The sequence below is a fragment of the Homo sapiens genome, chromosome 9 (assembly GCF_000001405.40).
Source record: "Homo sapiens chromosome 9, GRCh38.p14 Primary Assembly".
NCBI lineage: Eukaryota > Metazoa > Chordata > Mammalia > Primates > Hominidae > Homo > Homo sapiens.
Window position 1 is genome coordinate 69,906,228 of NC_000009.12, and position 19,200 is coordinate 69,925,427.

Sequence of the window (19,200 nt, forward strand, 5' to 3'; positions counted from 1 at the left end):
CTATAGTAGATTCCTTTAAGCAGAAAGTCTTATTTTCTGGACCAGTGTTTATATCCTTATTTTCATAAGCTACTCTGGTATTTTCCGAAGTTTATTGTGTGTCTTGCTGAGAGCATGCTACACAATTCTAGATGGTATTTAGTGAAACATTATTTTATGGATTATGTATTTGTTTTAATAATTATTAGAAAAACACATAAAACTAGCACAGTCAAGGTTATGATTGCTTAGGGTGTGGCTAATTATAAAAAAGTAGGCCAACTTAAATTCCACAGAAGACAAATTTTAAGTGAATAAATATATAGGTTGACATAAAACTCAAATGGCCAAAGTTTAGGCAACACTGGCCCTATAATAATGCTGAGTATGTATGTGATTTTTTTTTGAGGGGGAAATTGGTATCTATAAATTTCTATTTATCTGTGGTAGCTAGTTTCATTGTGGATTATTTATTTTGCATGACATTTTTCCTTATTCAAGTTAAGACCTTTTGAGTATATGGATAGCAGAGGTGCAGATAGAATCTTTGTGAAACTCTAGGGGTTTGATGGGAAATCTAGTCATCTAGTGTTAGATTTGGAAGAAATCTTAGCCATTGTTTTGACTTACCCTCACATTTTACAGATGAGCAAACAGAGGTCCATGGAGATTTAAGTAGTCTGCTGTATTGGTCAGCTGGGTCTACCGTAACAAAATACCATAGACTGGGTGGCTTAGACAACAAAGAAGTCTGCAAGCCAGGAAGACAGCCATCACCAGAAATAAACCCTGCCAGAACCTTGATCTTGGACTTTTCAGCCTCCAAAACCATGCAAAAATAAATTTCTGTAAAATAAGAAGGTGAGTCAAAACAATTGCTAAGATTGTTACCTTCTTGCCCTGTTCTTGCATGGCAGGAGGGGGATGGGGGTGGCGGACCTCTTTCGCTTCCTCTTCATGTAAGGCTACAGTTTTATTTGATTAGACCCCCACTCTTATGTCCTCATTTAACCTGAATTACCTCCTAAAGACCCTATCTTCAGATAGCCACATTGGGTGTAAGGGCTTTGACATATAAATCTGGGGAGAACAGAATTCAGTTCATAGCTGTTGCCCAGGGTTATAGGAGTAGCAGATTCTGATGGATCTTTGAGGTGCATTTGAAAACTTTTATTTCTTCTGAGGATGTATTTAATTATTTGGCCAACTTGGGCTTCATTTACTTATTTTTCTTTAAAAAATAACATTCACGAACTAGCATTTCATGATAAATGCTAATTGAACACTGCCTCTAGTGCTGGATTCACAAGATATAAAAAAGACTATAAGCTTTTTGATGACAGAAATGATAATTAATATAGAAAATGTGATATACCAGGTAAGCATGTGCCAGAAGAATCTTACTATAATTTCCTGCTGCTTTAAAATGTGTGTCCATATGCACACAAATACGTATATTATATATGCTAATTATGTATATTACATATACATTAAGTATAATATAGTCTATATAAATGTTAATTCATTATGTAGTACTTATTCTAGTAGATATCTACCTAGGATTACCTTTCCTTCCACTTACTATACATCCAAGTTTAACCATTCCTAACACTAATATATCTGGGGTGAAGAGCTATTTGAAGTATGCAAATCTGGATGTCAAGCCACTCATCATTTAATAATTTCTTTTTGTGGAGAAAAAGTTTTAATGGCCACATCATTACCTTTGAACACTGCCTGGTGCCTAGAACATAAAATAAGATTCACTTACTTTAGCAGAAATGTTATACTGTCACGATGACTAACATGACATTTTGTATAAACGACTAGGTCTGCTATTAGGGATCACCTTATAAATCAGTTTGGGTTTGGGTTAGAAGGAGAATGAAATAAGAGAGATTGTATTTAAACTAGCCTAGGAAAATGGTGCACTGAAATAAAGGTTACTGCAGGGGTTTTCCCCATGACAAGCATTACGTTGCCTTCAGTGAGTGAATGAGTGAATGTTGGACTCAATGAACTCTACGTTATTCTAACAACTTGATCTTTTAGGTAAAAATATTTTATATTGAGGTAAGCACTTCAATGGTTCATCTCACCAGCATCAAAGACCACTTCAAATAAGACAAGCTGGAATTCAGATTTCATTGTTGGATAATGTCCTCTGTGGGAAGTGACTACACTGTCTCCTGACTGGTCCATGTGTATGTGTCATAGAACCCCACTTAAGACCCCAAAATCACACTATATCTTTTGTGTTTACAAAGTTAATAAGATCTGTATCTACATCAATATCTCATTCAAATGAAACCTCAAAATCACACCCGAGAACCCAAAATCACACTATATCTTTCATGTTTATAAAGTTAGTGAGATCCATTTCTACAGCAATATCTCTTTCAAATGTACACAGCATCTCTCTTTTGGCCTTTATGCATTGCTGTGTCAGAGACATTGGTGTGAGCCCACCACGGCAGGGGGCAGACTGCTGGGAGAATGAGAGAATGTTGAGCAGATCCTAAGCAGATATATCAAAGAGGGGGTCTCTGAGTTAAGTTTGACCTACATGTAAGTTTTATGTGGTCTGCACAGTGTGTTTAAAAATTAATTTTAAAAAATAGAACCAAACTTTATTAATTAAGACATTTTACTTAAAAATCAGGATTTCTACTCCCTTGAAAGTCTGGCAGATCTGGCACCACTTGGCCACATTTTCACGCAGTAACAATCAGCAGGGGTATGAGGGAGGGCGGGGTCTCTTTAGATGGACGCTAAGTTCACTGTTTTGCTGCAATTTCCACCTGGCACACTTCACTCCACTGTGGAGGCATTATGACCCCCTCCCTAGGGAGAGATGAGACAATGTGAAATAGTAGGGGGAAGGAATGGTAGAAAAGCAGCAAACTGGCAGCTCTGGTGACTGGCGTTAGGATGAAGAAGGCAGAGGCTGCATCCTGATAGTGGGGATATAGCACATCTGGTTCAGTTCAAGTCAAAATCAAGATCCCAGCCTAGATAGAATGTAGAGATGGGGAGTGGGTCAAGGACTTTGCTTTATAAATATAGAATAGAGAATCCTCAGCTCAACCTCAATCCTCAGCGTATATTAGGAACACATTTGAGATGAGGTAAGAAGTGAGGGTACCAGGCCCAAACCCTAGGATATGACACTGGCAGATCAAGACAAGAGGCAGGGCCAAGCCAGCTCAGTGGTTTGTTTATAAAGGAAAGTCACTCCATGGACACCAGTGCTCCAGAGGTGCAGAAAAATTCCAGATTTGTGAAAACGCTAAGAAAAAATGGTGAAGTCTTTTTGTGGGACATAGAATGTAGGTGGCGGGCTGGGAGAGGCCATGGAAGTGCCTGGCACAGCCACTGTCAAGAATAGAGCAGCAGGAAAATTCTTTCATAAAGATGTACAGATCAGAAGCTAACTTTATTTCAGACAGAGCAGCAGGGAAGTTTGCAGATAGCTGGAAGCTCACTCCAAATAGCAGAGAACAAGTATGAGGCAGCCATTGTAAACCAAAGTAGAAAATCTAAGCAAAATCTAACACAGTAAATTATCGTTCCAAATATTAATATCATAACTTTAAAAAAATGTTTAACAGCTTTATTGGGATATGATTCACATATTATACAATTCAACCCATTAAAGCATATAATTCAATGGTTGTTAGTATATTCACAGAATTCTGCTATTATCACCACAATCAATTTTAGAACATTTTTATCACTCCTGAAAGAAATCCATATCCATTGGTGGTCATTTTCCATTCCCTCCCAATTCCCACAGTCCTAAGCAACCAAGAATCTACTTTCTGCCTCTGCAGATTTACCTATTTTGGATCTTTTCTGTAAGTAGAATCTTACAATATGTGGTCTTTTGTGACTGGTTTCTTTCACTTTCCATAGTGTTTTCAAGGTTCATCCATGTTGTAACATCTATCAGCACTTCATTCCTTTTTGGATGAATAATATTCCATTGTATAGATATACCACGATTTATCCATTCATTAGTTGATGGACATTTGGGTTGGTTCCACCTATGAACATTCATGTATGAGTTTTTGCATGCATCTCTCTTGGACATTGTGATGGTTAATATTGAGTGTCAACTTGATTGAATTGAAGGATGCAAATTATTGTTCCTGGGTGTGTCTGTGAGGGTGTTGCCAAAGGAGATTAACATTTGAGTCGGTGGGCTGGGAGAGCCATACTCACCCTCAATCTGGGTGGGCACCATCTAATCAGCTATCAGCACAGCCAGGATAAAAGGCAGAAGAACGTGGAAAGACTAGACTGACTTTGTCTTCTGGTCTACATCTTTCTCCCATGCTGGATGTTTCCTGTCCTCAAACATCGGACTCCAAGTCCTTCAGCTTTGGGATTCTTGGACCTTTGACCACAGACTGAAGGCTGCACTGTTGGCTTCCTTACTTTTGAGGTTTTGGGATTTAGATTGACTTCCTTGCTCCTCAGCTTGCAGACGGCCTATTATGGGACTTAACCTTGTGATTGTGTGAGTCAATTCTCCTTAATAAACTCCCTTTTATATATATATCTATCATACATCTATCCTATTAGTTGTATCACTCCAGGGAACCCTGACTAATACAGACATGTACCTAGGAGTAGAATTGCTGTGTCATATGGTAACTGTATGTTTAACCTTTTGAGGAACTACCAAACTATTTTCTAAAGTAGTGCACCATTTTACATTTCTACCAGCAATGTATGAAGGTTACAATTTTTCCATATCCTTGCCAATGTTTGTTATTTTTCATTGTTTTGATTGAAACCAGTTTGTGAAATGGCCGTTTCACAAAACATGAGTTCTTGAAGAGTGGAGACTATATCTGCTCATCTGGGGGTTACCAATGTCTAATACACAGTGAGCACTCAGAAATGCTGAAGGGTTGGTATAAATATGTTTGTCATAATCATATCTTAATATGAGTGAATGCTTGGGTAATTGATAAAAATGCAATCTGTATGATTGGAATGGCCTTGTTTAAAAATATTCTGATATTTAGCACATTTGTCCTACTAAGGGCTTCAATGGTAATCTTGTGAAATTGGAGGAGTTGGCAAAATTGGCCTAAGAAAATGTTATGTCCTGTATGGAAAACGTGAGTTTGCCAGAGCATCCATGGAACTGACTAAAATCCTCCTTAAAGTAAAGTAATGATTGCTGGCCAACCAGAGCACCAATCAGAATAAACCTTGCATATTCAAATACTAAAGACCCTGAGAAATTCTGTAGAACAGAAAGCAGTTAAATTCTATTTAATCCAGCATTTCCCAGGCTTATTTCATCAAAGAATCATTTCTTCTTGCAGGAGATATCTATAAATATATCCCAAGATATTAGTATTTCAGGGAAAACATTAGGGAAAACATTAATCTAAGCAATTTCTAAATAAGGATGAAGGACAAAATAAATATTTGTTGAGTGGCTACTAAGTACCACATACACAGGTGAAGTAGATTTTATAAAATCCCAGTTCTACTGCTAAGAAAAAAAATTCTAAATACCTCTTTCAGTCAACAGATTTAGACAGAACCCCAACTTCATGATGATGAAATACAGTACAAATTTATCTTAACAGTTATTGTGATTGGCATGTACATATTCTCTATTCTCTTCCTTATCTTTCTAAACAAAGAGGAATGGCTAACTCCCTCTACTTTAAATTCTCAGAGCTACTTATGTTACATTTTCCTGTAAGGTTTTCATTAAGTACCAATAGAACTTATGGTCTATAGTTTCACTTATCATTTTAATGTAGGCCGAATTGAGTATTTGTAGGTTATAATTATTTTATTCTATAGGGTAAGAGCAGGCTAAAGGCTTAATAAGAGACCTTTTACCATAACAATTAATGTGTTGGATTCACATAGGTGCCTAATAAGTGTTCATTTATGAGAATATAAGATTCTATGCAATAGGTTCTTAATCTCAAGAACTATCAGGAAAAATTTGCGTTTTTATGTAATGTAACATAAATGTAATTAAACTTAATTTAAGTCTATAGAAATAGGTAGAATCACTAAGTAGGAAAACAAATAGAATGGGATAACCTGAAGCAAAGTTAGAGAGATTTGGAAGAGGAGAAATTTACATTGTAATTGAAAAATGAGGAGAGATAAAGAATGAATTAAAGTGAAAGTATTTTTCAATATTGTATTCTTTGCATGCATTTGATTAACATTTTTATTAAAAATTTATTCAAAATCCCAATAGATTTAATTTAGGCAGTATATTGACAAGATAGTTGATATGACACTGATCATTAACAAGGTGACTAGGTTGTTTTTATGAAACCAATAATTGGTCACAGAAAAGCCCTTAGTCATGACTTAAAAAAAACAAACTGCACAGCATATATAGTGGCTTTTTAAAAGTTAAAGTACCCAAACAAAGAAATATTTCTAAACACCCAAGCAAATGTTGAAATCTGAAACATTTTTCTATTGAAGCCAACTGAAGAAAATAACATGGGGAAACCAAAAACTAAAAAGCATTTCTTTTCAAGATGCCTCTTTCTATACATCGTTTAAAATCCAGCAGAGTGTATATAAAGCTCTTTTATAAAGCAGGAAGGTAGAAAAAGAAGCTGTTGGCATTTCTGGTTTTTATTGAATAATTGCAAGAAAGTGGCTGTGAAGGAAGAGAAAAAAACTCAAGGAAATGGGTAGGTGAAAAACACAATAAGACAATCAAATAAAGAAAATGAAATGAGTGTGGGGGCAGATTTAATGCCTCGCACTTCAGAGAAATCAGGTGGAGAAACTTATCTCATGAGCTAGCCAAACAGATGGCATATTAGAGAATCCTGGGTTTCTCTGAAGATGGGATTACCTTAATTGAAGTCCTGGGGTAGGGGCAGGAGTTTTTCTCAGTAGAGAATAAGCAGATTGTCTCCCTTCTCTAATGCTGCCAAGGAAAGGTAGAGGAGGTGATTACTCATGGAAAAATATCAATGATGCATTTTTTTTTACATTTCTAGACTTTTAGAACTTAACAGTAGAAAATGTGCATTGGCTACTCAGCTTGAGGTGATGCCTGACTCAATAAAAGTGTCTGTGGCACCAGGGCTCCTTGGAGAAATAGTTGATTCTATGGTGCGGCCAGGAATATACACAATGAGCCTGGAGCACCTTGTAGTTCCAGAAAGTAAACACGCACAACAGACAGACAGACACACACACACGGAATATGATGAAGATATGTCAAAGGGACATGAGTCAAAAGAAAGAGCTTCAAATGGCCCATACTGATATAAATAAATAATTGAATAAATAGATAAATGAGGAGAATGGACACATCTTCCATGCAGAAGAATCCTGAACAATTTATGTAACTACTCTACCCTTGGAAGAGTGGAGCTCCCCTTAACTCTCAATTTGTTAAGTGTAGGCTGTACATAGCGACTTTCTTCCAAAAAGTACCATATAAAGATGGAAGAATAAGAGTAATGACAGTGGAGGTTCCTAACACTACCTTAGCCAGGTGACCAAGGTCAACATCAACAGTGATCAGCCATATTGCTAGTATGTACCCTTGACATGGTGTGATGAGAATGGCACTTTACCTCTGTGGTAAAGCTCCTATCTAGTCATGAGAAAAACATCAGATAAATTCCAGGTGAAGGACATTCTACAAAATATCCAACTAGTCTTCCTTAAAACTTTCAAAGTCATTAAAAACAAGGACAGTATGAGAAATTGTCACAGCCTAGAGGAGCCTGAGGACATGTGATAACTAAATGTAAGGTGATATCTTGCATGGGGTGCTGGGACAGAAAAAGGACATTACGTAAAAACTAAGGACATTTGAAAAAAGCATGGACTTTAGTTAATAGTAATGCGTCAACATTAGTTCTTTAATTGTGACAAATGTGCCAAACTAATGCTAATAATAGGGTGATATGGTTTGAATCTGTTTCCCCACCAAATCTCACATCGAATTTTAATCCCCAGTGTTGGAGGTAGGGCCTGGTGGGAGGTGATTGGATGGTGGGGGCTGTTTCTCATGAATGGTTTGGCACCATCCCCTTAGTGCTATTGCCGTGATACTGAGTGAGTGAGTTCTCACGAGATCTGGTTGTTTAAGAGTGTGTAGCGTCCCCCCCACCCCTTCTGCCTCCTGCTCCAGCCATGTGAGGTACCGGCTCCCCTTTCGCCTTCTGCTATGATTTTAAGTTTCCTGAGGCCTCCCCAGAAGCCAGGCAGATGCCACCATGCTTCCTGTGCAGCCTGCAGAACCGTGAGCCAATTAAACTTCTTTTCTTTGTAAATTACCCAGTCTTAGGCATCTCTTAAGAGCAATTCAAGAACGGACTAATACCCAGGGAAAACTGGGTGAGAGGTATATGGAAATTCTGTACTATCTTCACAACTGTTCAGGAAATCTCAAACCATTCTAAAACTGAAAGTTTATTTAAACATTAAAAAATGTTTGTGATAAATGCTAGCACCTGAAGATTCTGGCTGAGAAATTGTTACAGAGATGTGATATCTGATATTGATAGCCTAGCCTTGTGATGTGAAACTTGTTTTTCCATAAATTAATCTACTTGCATGAAATATCTTGTTTTTTACATGGTGAATATACTTCTATATAAATTCAGCAACAGCAGTTCTAAAAAAAATCTGGTAGAAAAAAAGTCAAGAGGTAGTTGGAGTCCACAGGTGCAAAAAATACTATGCGATTTCATTTATTAAAAGTTCAAAGCAGGGCACAGTGGCTCATGCCTGTAATCCCAGCACTTTGGGAGGCCGAGGCAGGCAGATCACGAGGTCAGGAGTTCAAGACCATCTTGGCCAACATGGTGAAACCCCATCTCTACTAAAAATACGAAAAAATTAGCCGGGCGTGGTGGCAGGCGCCTGTAACCCCAGCTGTTCAAGAAGCTGAGGCAGGAGAATCGCTTGAGCCGGTGGGGGAGGGGGGGGGCCCGGAGGTTGCAGTGAGCTGAGATCTTGCCACTGCACTCCAGCCTGGAAGACAGAGTGAGACCCCATCACCAAAAAAAAAAAAAAAAAAAAAAAAAAAAAAAAAAAAAAATTCAAAGCATATACTTAAGGTGAAACTAATCTAGAATGTTAGAGGTTGAAACGGTGATTATCTTTGGAAGGTATGACTGGGAGAGCCACTAAGGCTGCTTCAGGGAGATACTGCTCTTTTTCTTGGACTAAGTGGTAGTTCATTTTGTAAAAATTTATTGGGCTGTAAGCTTACGATTTGTTCACTTTTCCATATGTGTATTATACTTCGAAAAGAAAGTTTATTAAAGAAAACAAATGTGCTTTTTGGCCGGACGCGGTAGCTCACACCTGTAATCCCAGCACTTTGGGAGGCCGAGGCAGGCGGATCATGAGATCAGGAGATTGAGACCATCCTGGCTAACACGGTGAAACCCTGTCTCTACTAAAAATACAAAAAAAAAAAAAAAAAAAAAAAAAGAATTAGCCAGGCATGGTGGCAGGCACCTGTAGTCCCAGCTACTCGGGAGGCTGAGGCAGGAGAATGGTGTGAACCCAGGAGGCGGAGCTTGCAGTGACCCGAGATGGCAACACTGCACTCCAGCCTGGGCGACAGAGTGAGATTCTGTCTCAACAAAAACAACAAAAGAAAACAAATGTGCTTTTTGACATTTATTTAAATATGGTCCGCAAATGGGTTTTGGATAGTAAACACTTTTCACAGTTGAGGACCTCGCAGTGCTGTGTTGCTATTAGAAAAGTATGTTGTCCGTTTATTCCCTCGTTCCACAAGTATTTATTAAACACCCAGGACTGGCACCAGGAAAGGATTGGCCTGTCTCTAAAACAATAGATTATATGGGAAATAGACCTACTAACTGAAAACTGTAATATGTTAGATAGTGTTATAATACATATGTGTGAAGATGCAGGGGGATTCTAGAAATGTGCTTCAGTTTCTTGGGGAATATCAGAGAAGGCTTCTCAGTAAAGAGGGGCACTAGAGTTAATACATGAAAAACAAAGAGTACATATTTGGCCAAAAGGAAGTGGGTGTGGGTACAGGGGGACAAGAAGGGATGAGGAGGGAATTGCAGACAGAGGTCATGGCTAGAGAAAGGTGGCAGAGGCAGGGTACCTTTTGGAAAGTTCCTGAAGTTTGGGAGAGTGGCAGGGAGTAGGGGGAGCTGAGGTCATAGATGAAGGTAAGAGCCACATTGTGAAAGGCCGTGAAGAAAAAAAGACTTTATCCAGGAGGTGATGAGCTTTAGGAAGTTGAGTAACCCGACAGAACTATGATTAGAAAGATAACTCAAAGGTGGTGTAGAGGAATACTTGAAGGGAACAGGGCTGGAAGTAGGAAGAACAGCAAGGATGCTACCATAAGAGTACAAGAGAGATGGCGGCAGCATAGACAAAGCAGCAGACAGATGTTTGAGCCTGAGACTGGTCAGGTCTCAGTGACTAATTAGATGGGGAGGGGCCCGGTGGGTGCCTATGATTACATCAATGGTACCATGAATAATGACAGAGAACACTGAAGGAAAACTGGGAATGGGAAGGAAGAAGAGTTCCATTTGGAATATGTTAACTTCGGAACATCCAGGTGGGGACATCTAGCAGGTAGTTGGACATAATGGGAATGAAGCCCAGTAGGATGATCTGGAGCTATGAGAGTTCTCTTGGTAGATACAAAGGGAGGTCTGAGTTTACTAACGAAGAGTAAGTGTAGTGAGAAGATCATTGCAGACAAGGCTGTGTAGAATAAAGTGCTGAAGAGTTGGAGCTGTCAGAGGGTAGCTCAAGTGCTTCACCATCCATGGGTCCAACTCCATAAGAAGGACAACCGGGTCAACTCGGGTATGTAGAGTGGCCAAGGGACTGTAGGTCCTAGTGTGGTGGAATTATGAGATTCAGAGTAGTGAGGAAGTGAGAAAACCAAGAGGATGTGAGCCTGTGATGAGACAGCATGTAAACCAAGTTTAAGATTTCAGGCTGAGCCAGTTCTGACTTATAAATAGAATGGGGCATATAAATTCCATGAGGACATGAGCATTCTGCTTTCATATCCCCAGTAGGTAGGATAGAGTATGACATATGGTAGATGCTCAATAAATATTTGATCAGTGAATGAATAAATGAATGACGTATTGCTGAAGTAGACTGAATTGAAAGTTAATAAAATGGATGAGGTCAAGGAAATCTTTGGAAATTCTTAGAAAACTTCAATAGGTGACTTTGATTTGTGTTTAGGAATACATATTTCACATCTTCCCTTGTGGAAAGCAAATTAATAGGTATACTCAGGAGATTACTATTGCATGGGATATGATCATATTCAGGAAACATCTTTCACTACTTCCCGCCTTAGAGAAAATGAATTTACATAATATGTAAATGTCTATATTACATTCTAATTAACAATATTCTATTTTGAGGATTTTACCAGACTACCACTTGAAAATGTTTCATGTGAGATTATGTAATATCACCTATGATGTAGTCTAGCTAAACGTTTAACTTGAATACCTTGAGCTGTTAGTTCTTGTAGTTTATAGGAAACACAAAGGATATAACAGTAAACTAAATGGTACCACAAGGAAACAGCCAGACAGATTGAGAAGATGGGACATTATGTAGGACAATTGGCCAGTTTATTTAACAAGTCAGTGAGGTTTAGAAGGACAAAAAGGAATTCTGCTAGATTAGAAGAGGAAGCCTGGATCACATTGTTGTTTGGAGAAAGCAATTGTAAAAGAATTCTGTGACTATTGAAGTTATTAGACTATGGACTAGGTATGAGAAAAATGAAAATTTACTGATGTGGAAAGATGTAGATCATCAGTGAGTAAAGCAGAATATAAAACATTATGTGCAATAGAATTTTGACAAAAATATCATTTATGTTTATAAACATATAAAAAAGACCTGAAAGGATGTGTAATAAGCTTTTAAAGGGCTACTGTCTGGTTTGTGGGAACATGATATTTTCATTTTCTTATTCTTGTTTATCTGTATTTTCTAGCTTCTACAATGCCTTTGTATTTCTTTGAAATATTAAAAGGTTTTTTTTGTTTAAAAAATTAAAACGAAAAGAAACTGGAAATGACGTTTAGAAAGAATACATTTATTCTAAACACTACAAGAGAATGAAATAACTTCCTGTTTTAGTTTGCTACAGCTACTGTAACAAAGTGCCACAAACCAAGCAGCTTAAACAACAGAAATTTGTCTCACAGTTCTGGAGGCCAGAAGTTTGAGATCTAGCTGTCAGCAGGTTTTTCTGCTGAGGGTGTGAGGAAGACTCTGTTCCATGCCTCTCTTGAGCTTTGGTGGTGTGTGGCATCACCCGGATCTCTGCCTTCCTCATCACATGGCGTTCTCCCTGTGCGCGTGTCCGTGCCCAAATTCCCCCTTGTTATAAGGACACCAGTCACATTGGATTAGGGATCCTCCCCACTTCTGTATGACCTCGTCTTAACCAGTTACATCTCCAAGTCCCTATTTCCAAATAAGGCCACATTTCGAGGCATTGGGGGTTAGGACTTCAACATATGACTTTTAGAGGGGACATAGGGGACACAATTCAACTCATAAGAGTTCCCAAGAGATGAGTCCTCATGATTTAAAAGTGTATAAACTTCCCTACACAAGGGAATGAAGCCTACAGTCCATAAGCTGCTTTCTCTCTCTCATAATCAACACGAAATGCTTTTTTTTTTTTGAAGACAGGGATCTTGCTGATTGCCCAGGCTGGATTGCAGGGGTGTGATATTGGCTCACTGTAACCTCTGCCTCCTGGGCTCAAGTGATCCCTCCACTTAAACCTCCCTAGTAGCTGGGACCACAGGCGTGCACCACCACGCCCGGCTAATTTTTGTATTTTAGTGGAGACGGGGTTTCACAGTGTTGGCCAGGTTGGTCTTGAACTCCTGGCCTCAGGTGATCTGCTTGCCTTGGCCTCTCAAAGTGCTGGGATTACAGGCGTCAGCCACCTCGCCCAGGCATAATTTTTTACTTTTTGTAGAGATGGGGTTCCGCCATCTTGCCTAGGCTGGTCTCAACCAAAATGCTATTCTTAATGGACTTTTCTCTTGACCTGTAAGCAGTGCACAATGAAGAACTAATAAAAATATCCTCACTTTAAGAAATAACTAAGCTGTAGTAACACCTTCAGAGATCTGTATGTTTTATTTGAATTTGAACTCAGATAACCACAGGCTAAAACATTTAATAAAACTGCTACCACTTCTGATGAAATAAATAGAGAAGGGTAAAGAAAAATATCTCTTACTGAGAAAAAGCTTTTGGAGAATTAGTGTTGGTCTCATAAACAGTTTTTACTTATGTAAGACCCAGAAATGAGGATTCTGTATCAAAATACAAGTTTTCTCTTTCTAGATGCAGCAAACAGTGCCACGGAATAAACTGTGGTCTGGTTAATGTTTAAATCTGGCTCCCTCTACTGGAGGATGTGAGTTTTCTCCTTTCTTTTTAACTGGAGGTCCAAAAAGCATACACTGTACAGGATAGGGGTTCACAGCTCAGGGGTTTCCATTCTTCACTACATATATAGACATTGCCTCATTGACTGGCTTGTGGTTTGTAATAAGAAAAAATGTGTAAATCTCACTGTTGATAAGTCAGCCACCACATCCCTGCTACCTTCTACTTCAGAGATAAAATTTAACTCAGATCTTAAGACAAATAAGAACATGAACTTGACATTCAATCTTCCCCATGTTGGGACATAGACTGCTGATCTGAATTTAGGCTTTTAGAGCTAGAATAAATCCCGAGAGATCCTACAATCCAATTCTTCATTTTCCTGATGAGAAAATATATGTGCAGAGAGAGGAAGTGATTTCCTCAAATTATGCAATGTCGAGATCTTCAATGTGAATATAATCACAAATTGCACACGATGTACTTCTCTAACGTTTTATAGCATTTAGGGCATCAACTCAAGTTAATAAATATTTCTAGATTGCCTACTGTGTGTCAGACACGAAGAGATATACAAAGATGTGTGAGATGTGATTTTTGCTCCTTCAAGAGCTTATTGTTAATTAAATTATATGAAGGATAATTCCAGGTGCTGCCAGGTCTGCAACTCCAAATGGCCAATTAAATGATATTTCCCACATTAATAAGTACTGATTCTTGACAGATGATTGATCATTTCTTTGCACAGCCAATCTTCTTGATTAGGTCTTGGTGCCAATAGAGCTGCTTTGGGGTTTGATTGTTTTTCTGAACTGGAAATTGGTGACTTTGAATGGAGTTGGGGAGTGATATGTGTGTTGGGGTAGAGTTTCAAATTTTTGTTTTTATTGCTCCTGTATAAATGACTTTGGATCATTCCTGGTAAATGACTTAAAGTTGCTTTTGAATAGAAATGTCCAAACACATCTGAGTATCTGGTTCTATTTTTGTTGGTCCAGCTGTCCCAGCCTTAAACCCATCTCGCAGTGCTAAGATGCCCACGCAAATCTTTTGCGATCAACTCGGTGCATTACTTTTATCTGCCCACGGTAGTAACACGATCCTTATATGCCTGTATGTGAATACGGACAACTAGTAAGGATAGAGAGAGAAAGAGAGAGAGAGGGGGAGACCCTAAAGCCATTGTGACTTTATTGTTTGAACCACTCTATGCTTATTCAGCTCTGCCGTTTGCCAGCTGTGTCACCTTGAGAAAGTTACTTAACCTCTTTGTGCCTCACATACCTCATAGGTAGTTGTGATGATTAATGTATTAATATACATGAAGCATTTAGAACAGATTCTAGTACATAATAAGCATGTATATGACTTCATTGACATTATTACTTGATTTGTACGTGCAAGGAAAACTAATATGGTGTTTATAAATTCAAAAAAGTTTCAAAAGGTGATTTACAAAATGGGAGCCATCTAGATTAATACTATTTCATGCTGGCTCTGGACACAGATGCAGGGGGAGTTATTCTCTGGGGAAAGTGAGCCTTTTCAGTAACCACAGGCAGCAGGGTGAGAAATCTTAGTTCTAAACCAATGAAGTAAATGCTGGGATCCCCTACTGTTCTCATATATTCTGCATAGAAGATATGAAAGTATTATGGAAATGATTTTAAGTACATGAAGAGAGAGAAAAGAATCCTAGTGTTGAAAGTCTAAGAATATGTATTTGAGCACACTACATTTCTCTTCCTCCTGAAACATCTTTAGAAATCATAGCCTTTTTAAATTTAAAATTCATTGGTGATTCTTAGATTTTAGCATCAAAGTGAGGACTAAGCTCTGATTTTTCTCTTGCTCAAATTCCTACCTAAGGGGTCTAGGGAGTCATGCCCTATGAACCATAAATTCTTGTCAGATGGGTTTTATTTGACCCTATATATTGTGACTGACTTTTCAGTCTGACTTTGGCATAACGTTATGAGACGAGGAAAAATATTTAACCCCAAAATACATTTCCTTGCCATATCTTGAAGTTGCCCTGCAAAGTCTCTTGTGGGGAAAAATCCACATTCTCTGGAGAATCCCCTTCCCCCTTTGTTTTCCTCCCTTCTTTCCAGATCCAGGAGATAATTAACTAAGAGGCTGGCACCCTTTTAAGTCCCATAAGAAACATTTTACAACCTACTGTCTCTCTAAAGTCTGCTGAGAAATTCCTCTGCACACTAAAACTTGGTCCCCACAATCCTTTATCTTAACCTGAACATTCCTTTCCATTAATCCCAGGTCTTCAGATAAACTCCACCAATTGTCAACCACAAAATGTTCAAATTTACCTATAGCCTGGAATCCCCCGCTTTGAGTTGTCCCACCTTTCTGAACCAAACCAATGTCGTGCTTAAATGTATTTGATTGATGTCTCATGCCTCTCTAAAATATATAAAACCAAGCTGTATCCTAACCACCTTGGGCACATGTTCTCAGGACCTCCTGAGGGCTGTGTCACAGGACATGGTCACTCATATTTGGCTCAGAATAAATCTCTTCAAATATTTTACAGAGTTTACTCTATCAATAAAAGAAAAGGTACAATTGCAACAAAAGAATTCTGTGTTCTTAATATTCCTGATTAAGCAGCTGCTCTGCTCAGCACCTCTCGGAAGATTTTGTACAATATGAAATACCTTCCAGAGCTGAGCATCATTCTGAGCTTCAGCATTACCTCATTTTCATCAAGATAGATGTAAACGTGATTATTTTAAATGACTAGAGCATTTCCAAGCATTTAGCTTTTAAAACTCAGATGAGACTTAATCAACTGTTTTCCCATTTTATATCACCAACGTCTCTTATTCTGCATAGCTCAGAAGTCAAGCTGAGCTTGAATTAAAATCCAGTTTTCCAGGCTGTTACTGAAAGATAAAAAGACTAATTGGTTTACAGCTTCTTCAAAGCCTGTATACCATAGGTTGAGTTTCTGATGTTTAATCATTTATGTTACTGTATAGTGTCTATCCTATTACTGACAAACCCAAACCTTCTATGGGTTGTTTTCTCTTAGTGCCTGTGATCTCACCACAGCAAATCACCATTTCACCATAAGCATCTTTTTATTATTAGTTGGAGATCCCATACTATGCCACTAGTTGCTGCAAATCCGTTAGGCATTAATGACATATACTCCATAGCCATTCTGCTGTGAGTTAGCAATGAATAAATCCATTAAAATGAAGGGTTGCTGAACTTCCTGCATTACTGTGTGAGGAGCTCTGCCAGCTTGCTCCACAGAGAAACTGGTGAAAATTATTAAAAGCAAACTAACTCAAAGCCTCTGGAAATGATCCTAAAGGCATACAGCAAATGAAGAAATAATCCCAGCACTTTGGGAAGCCGAGGCGGGTGGATCATGAGGTCAGGAGATCGAGAGCATCCTGGCTAACTTGGTGAAACCCCATCACTACTAAAAATACAAAAAAATTAGCCAGGCGTGGTGGAGGGCGCCTGTAGTGCCAGCTACTCAGGAGGCTGAGGCAGGAAAATGGCAGGAATCCGGGAGGCAGAGGTTGCAGTGAGCCGAGATTGTGCCCCTGCGCTCCAGCCTGGGCGACAGAGCGAGACTCTGTCTAAAAATAAATAAATAAATAAATAAATAAATAAATAAAGAGGCTGGGTGCGGTGGCTCATGCCTGTAATCCCAACACTTTGGGAGGCCAAGGCAGGCAGATCACGAGGTCAGGAGATCGAGACCATCCTGGCTAACATGGTGAAACCCCATCTCTACTAAAAATACAAAAAATTAGCCGGGCATGGTGGCAGGCACCTGTAGTCCCAGCTACTCGGGAGGCTGAGGCAGGAGAATGGCGTGAACCCAGGAGGCGGAGCTTGCAGTGAGCCGAGATCACGTCACTGCACTCCAGCCTGGGCTCCGTCTCAAAACAAATAAAACCTACAACAATTTGGTAAGAAATGTGAGAGTCTCTGGTATTTGAACCAAGACTACTCTCCCCTTCCCCTTTCCCAGCTTAATGAGGCATAGACTTTGCATCATGTTGTCATAGCCAAGAAGATGGGGATCCCTCTCCCTCTAGCTCCCAGTGGAGAGCGCTTTCTTCCCAGGAGGAGCAGGACTTCAGCATTTCTCGTCTTGTCCACAGCTATCTGTTGCTGAGGTTAAGTAGTGGGTGTGTTCAGTCAGAATGGGGGCTCCCTTCCTCCTATCCCCCACTTATGGAGTAGAGACTGTACCTTGGACAGGCACATTAAAAGAATTGGGGCCCCAGTCACCCTTGCTGCAGTTCATGAGTTGGTGGTTCCTTGCCACCAAAAACAATCTCAGGCTGTGGCATTTGCTCTCCACCAAGCACTCAGATCCTGGAGCACAGCTGTCACTCAGAAAGCAACTTGTCTTTGTCTTCACCCCCAGCTCTAGAACCCTGGCTTAGAGATTTTGCCTGGGGAAAGAAGCAAGCTATAAAACAACTCTCAATGTCTTCGAAAGGAAACTGACTTCATTTGCAACACACTGTGGAGAAGCCCAAGCCAAAGGGCACTCTCAAGAGCAGTGGAGAGACTGTGGTGAAAGGCACTTGGGAGGCACATTTGTGAAGTTAATGAAGATAGAGCCTAGACTGTGGGTTGCCTAGGAGAGAACCAGAGAGAACCAGAATATGACAGCTGGAAGGAGCCCTCATAGGGTGAAAACAATTATCAAGCACTGACCACAGAAATCATTCCTTCAAAGGGACCACAATTTGGGGTGAATTCGTTTGTAAAGCTATTTATGCCCCCAGGGTACTTTTTAAAACAATAATGCAATCAGCCAGCAATTAGTGGAGTTCAATAGCTGGGTGTGGTCAGGGAAGGAAAGAAAAAGAGTCCTACCAATCCTATTATCATCCCAGGGTTACTGTAGCCATCCCCAAAGCCATGCCTCCCTGAGGAGCAACATTGGAGGCTTAACAATGTGTGTGTGTGTGTGTGTGTGTGTGTGTGTGTGTGTGTGCGCGCGCGCATGTGTGTTCACATAAAACTTCACTAAAATAACCCAGCTGGTTAAGAAAAAAAAAAAGCAAGCAAATAATAATAATAGCCCAGGAGAGGGAAGTCTAGTGTTCAGAATTGCTACAGTATATGACATAGTTTGGATGTTTGTCCCCTCCAAATCTTATGTTAACACTTGATCCCCAATGTTGTTGGAGTTTTGGCCTAGTGGGAGGTTCTTGGGTGATGGGGGTAGATCCCTCGTGAATGGCATGGTCACTTTCTCTTTGTAATGAGTGGGTTATCGCTCTGTTAGTTCATTTAAGAACTGATAGTTGAAAAGAACCATACCCTTCTCTCACCTCTTCCTTTCTCATGTGTGACATGCCTTCTTCCCCTTCCTGAGGCCCTAACCAGAAGTAGATGCTCATGCCATGCTTCTTATACAGCCTGCAGAATGGTGAGCCAAATAAACCTCTTTTCTTTATAAATTACCCACCCTCAGGTATTCCTTTAGAGTAATGCAAATGAACTAATACAATATATTATCTAAAATGTCCCATTTCCAACAAAAAATTATGCAAAGAAACAGGAAAGCATGATCCATACGCAGGAAAAAAGCAGGCAACACAAACTGCCTATGAGAGCAACCAGATGTCATATTTAACAGGAAAGTATTTCAAAATAGCCACCAAAAATGTTGGAGATAAATGCTCGGTGCCGCAAAGTGAAACCAGCACTCAGGCAAAAGTTTTTGCAGCAAGGCAACTTACTTCTGCAGAAGGGTGCTACTCGCATCAATCACAATTG

The 19,200-nt window shown here is 39.4% G+C and overlaps 1 annotated feature.

Annotated features, from left to right (window-relative positions):
• Positions 17,680-18,410: an enhancer, noted in NCBI's record as "NANOG hESC enhancer chr9:72538823-72539553 (GRCh37/hg19 assembly coordinates)". NCBI's record gives its function as "activates a minimal SCP1, AML or CMV promoter by ChIP-STARR-seq in naive H9 embryonic stem cells {active_cell/tissue: H9 hESC(naive)}" and the evidence as "EXISTENCE:reporter gene assay evidence [ECO:0000049][PMID:30033119]".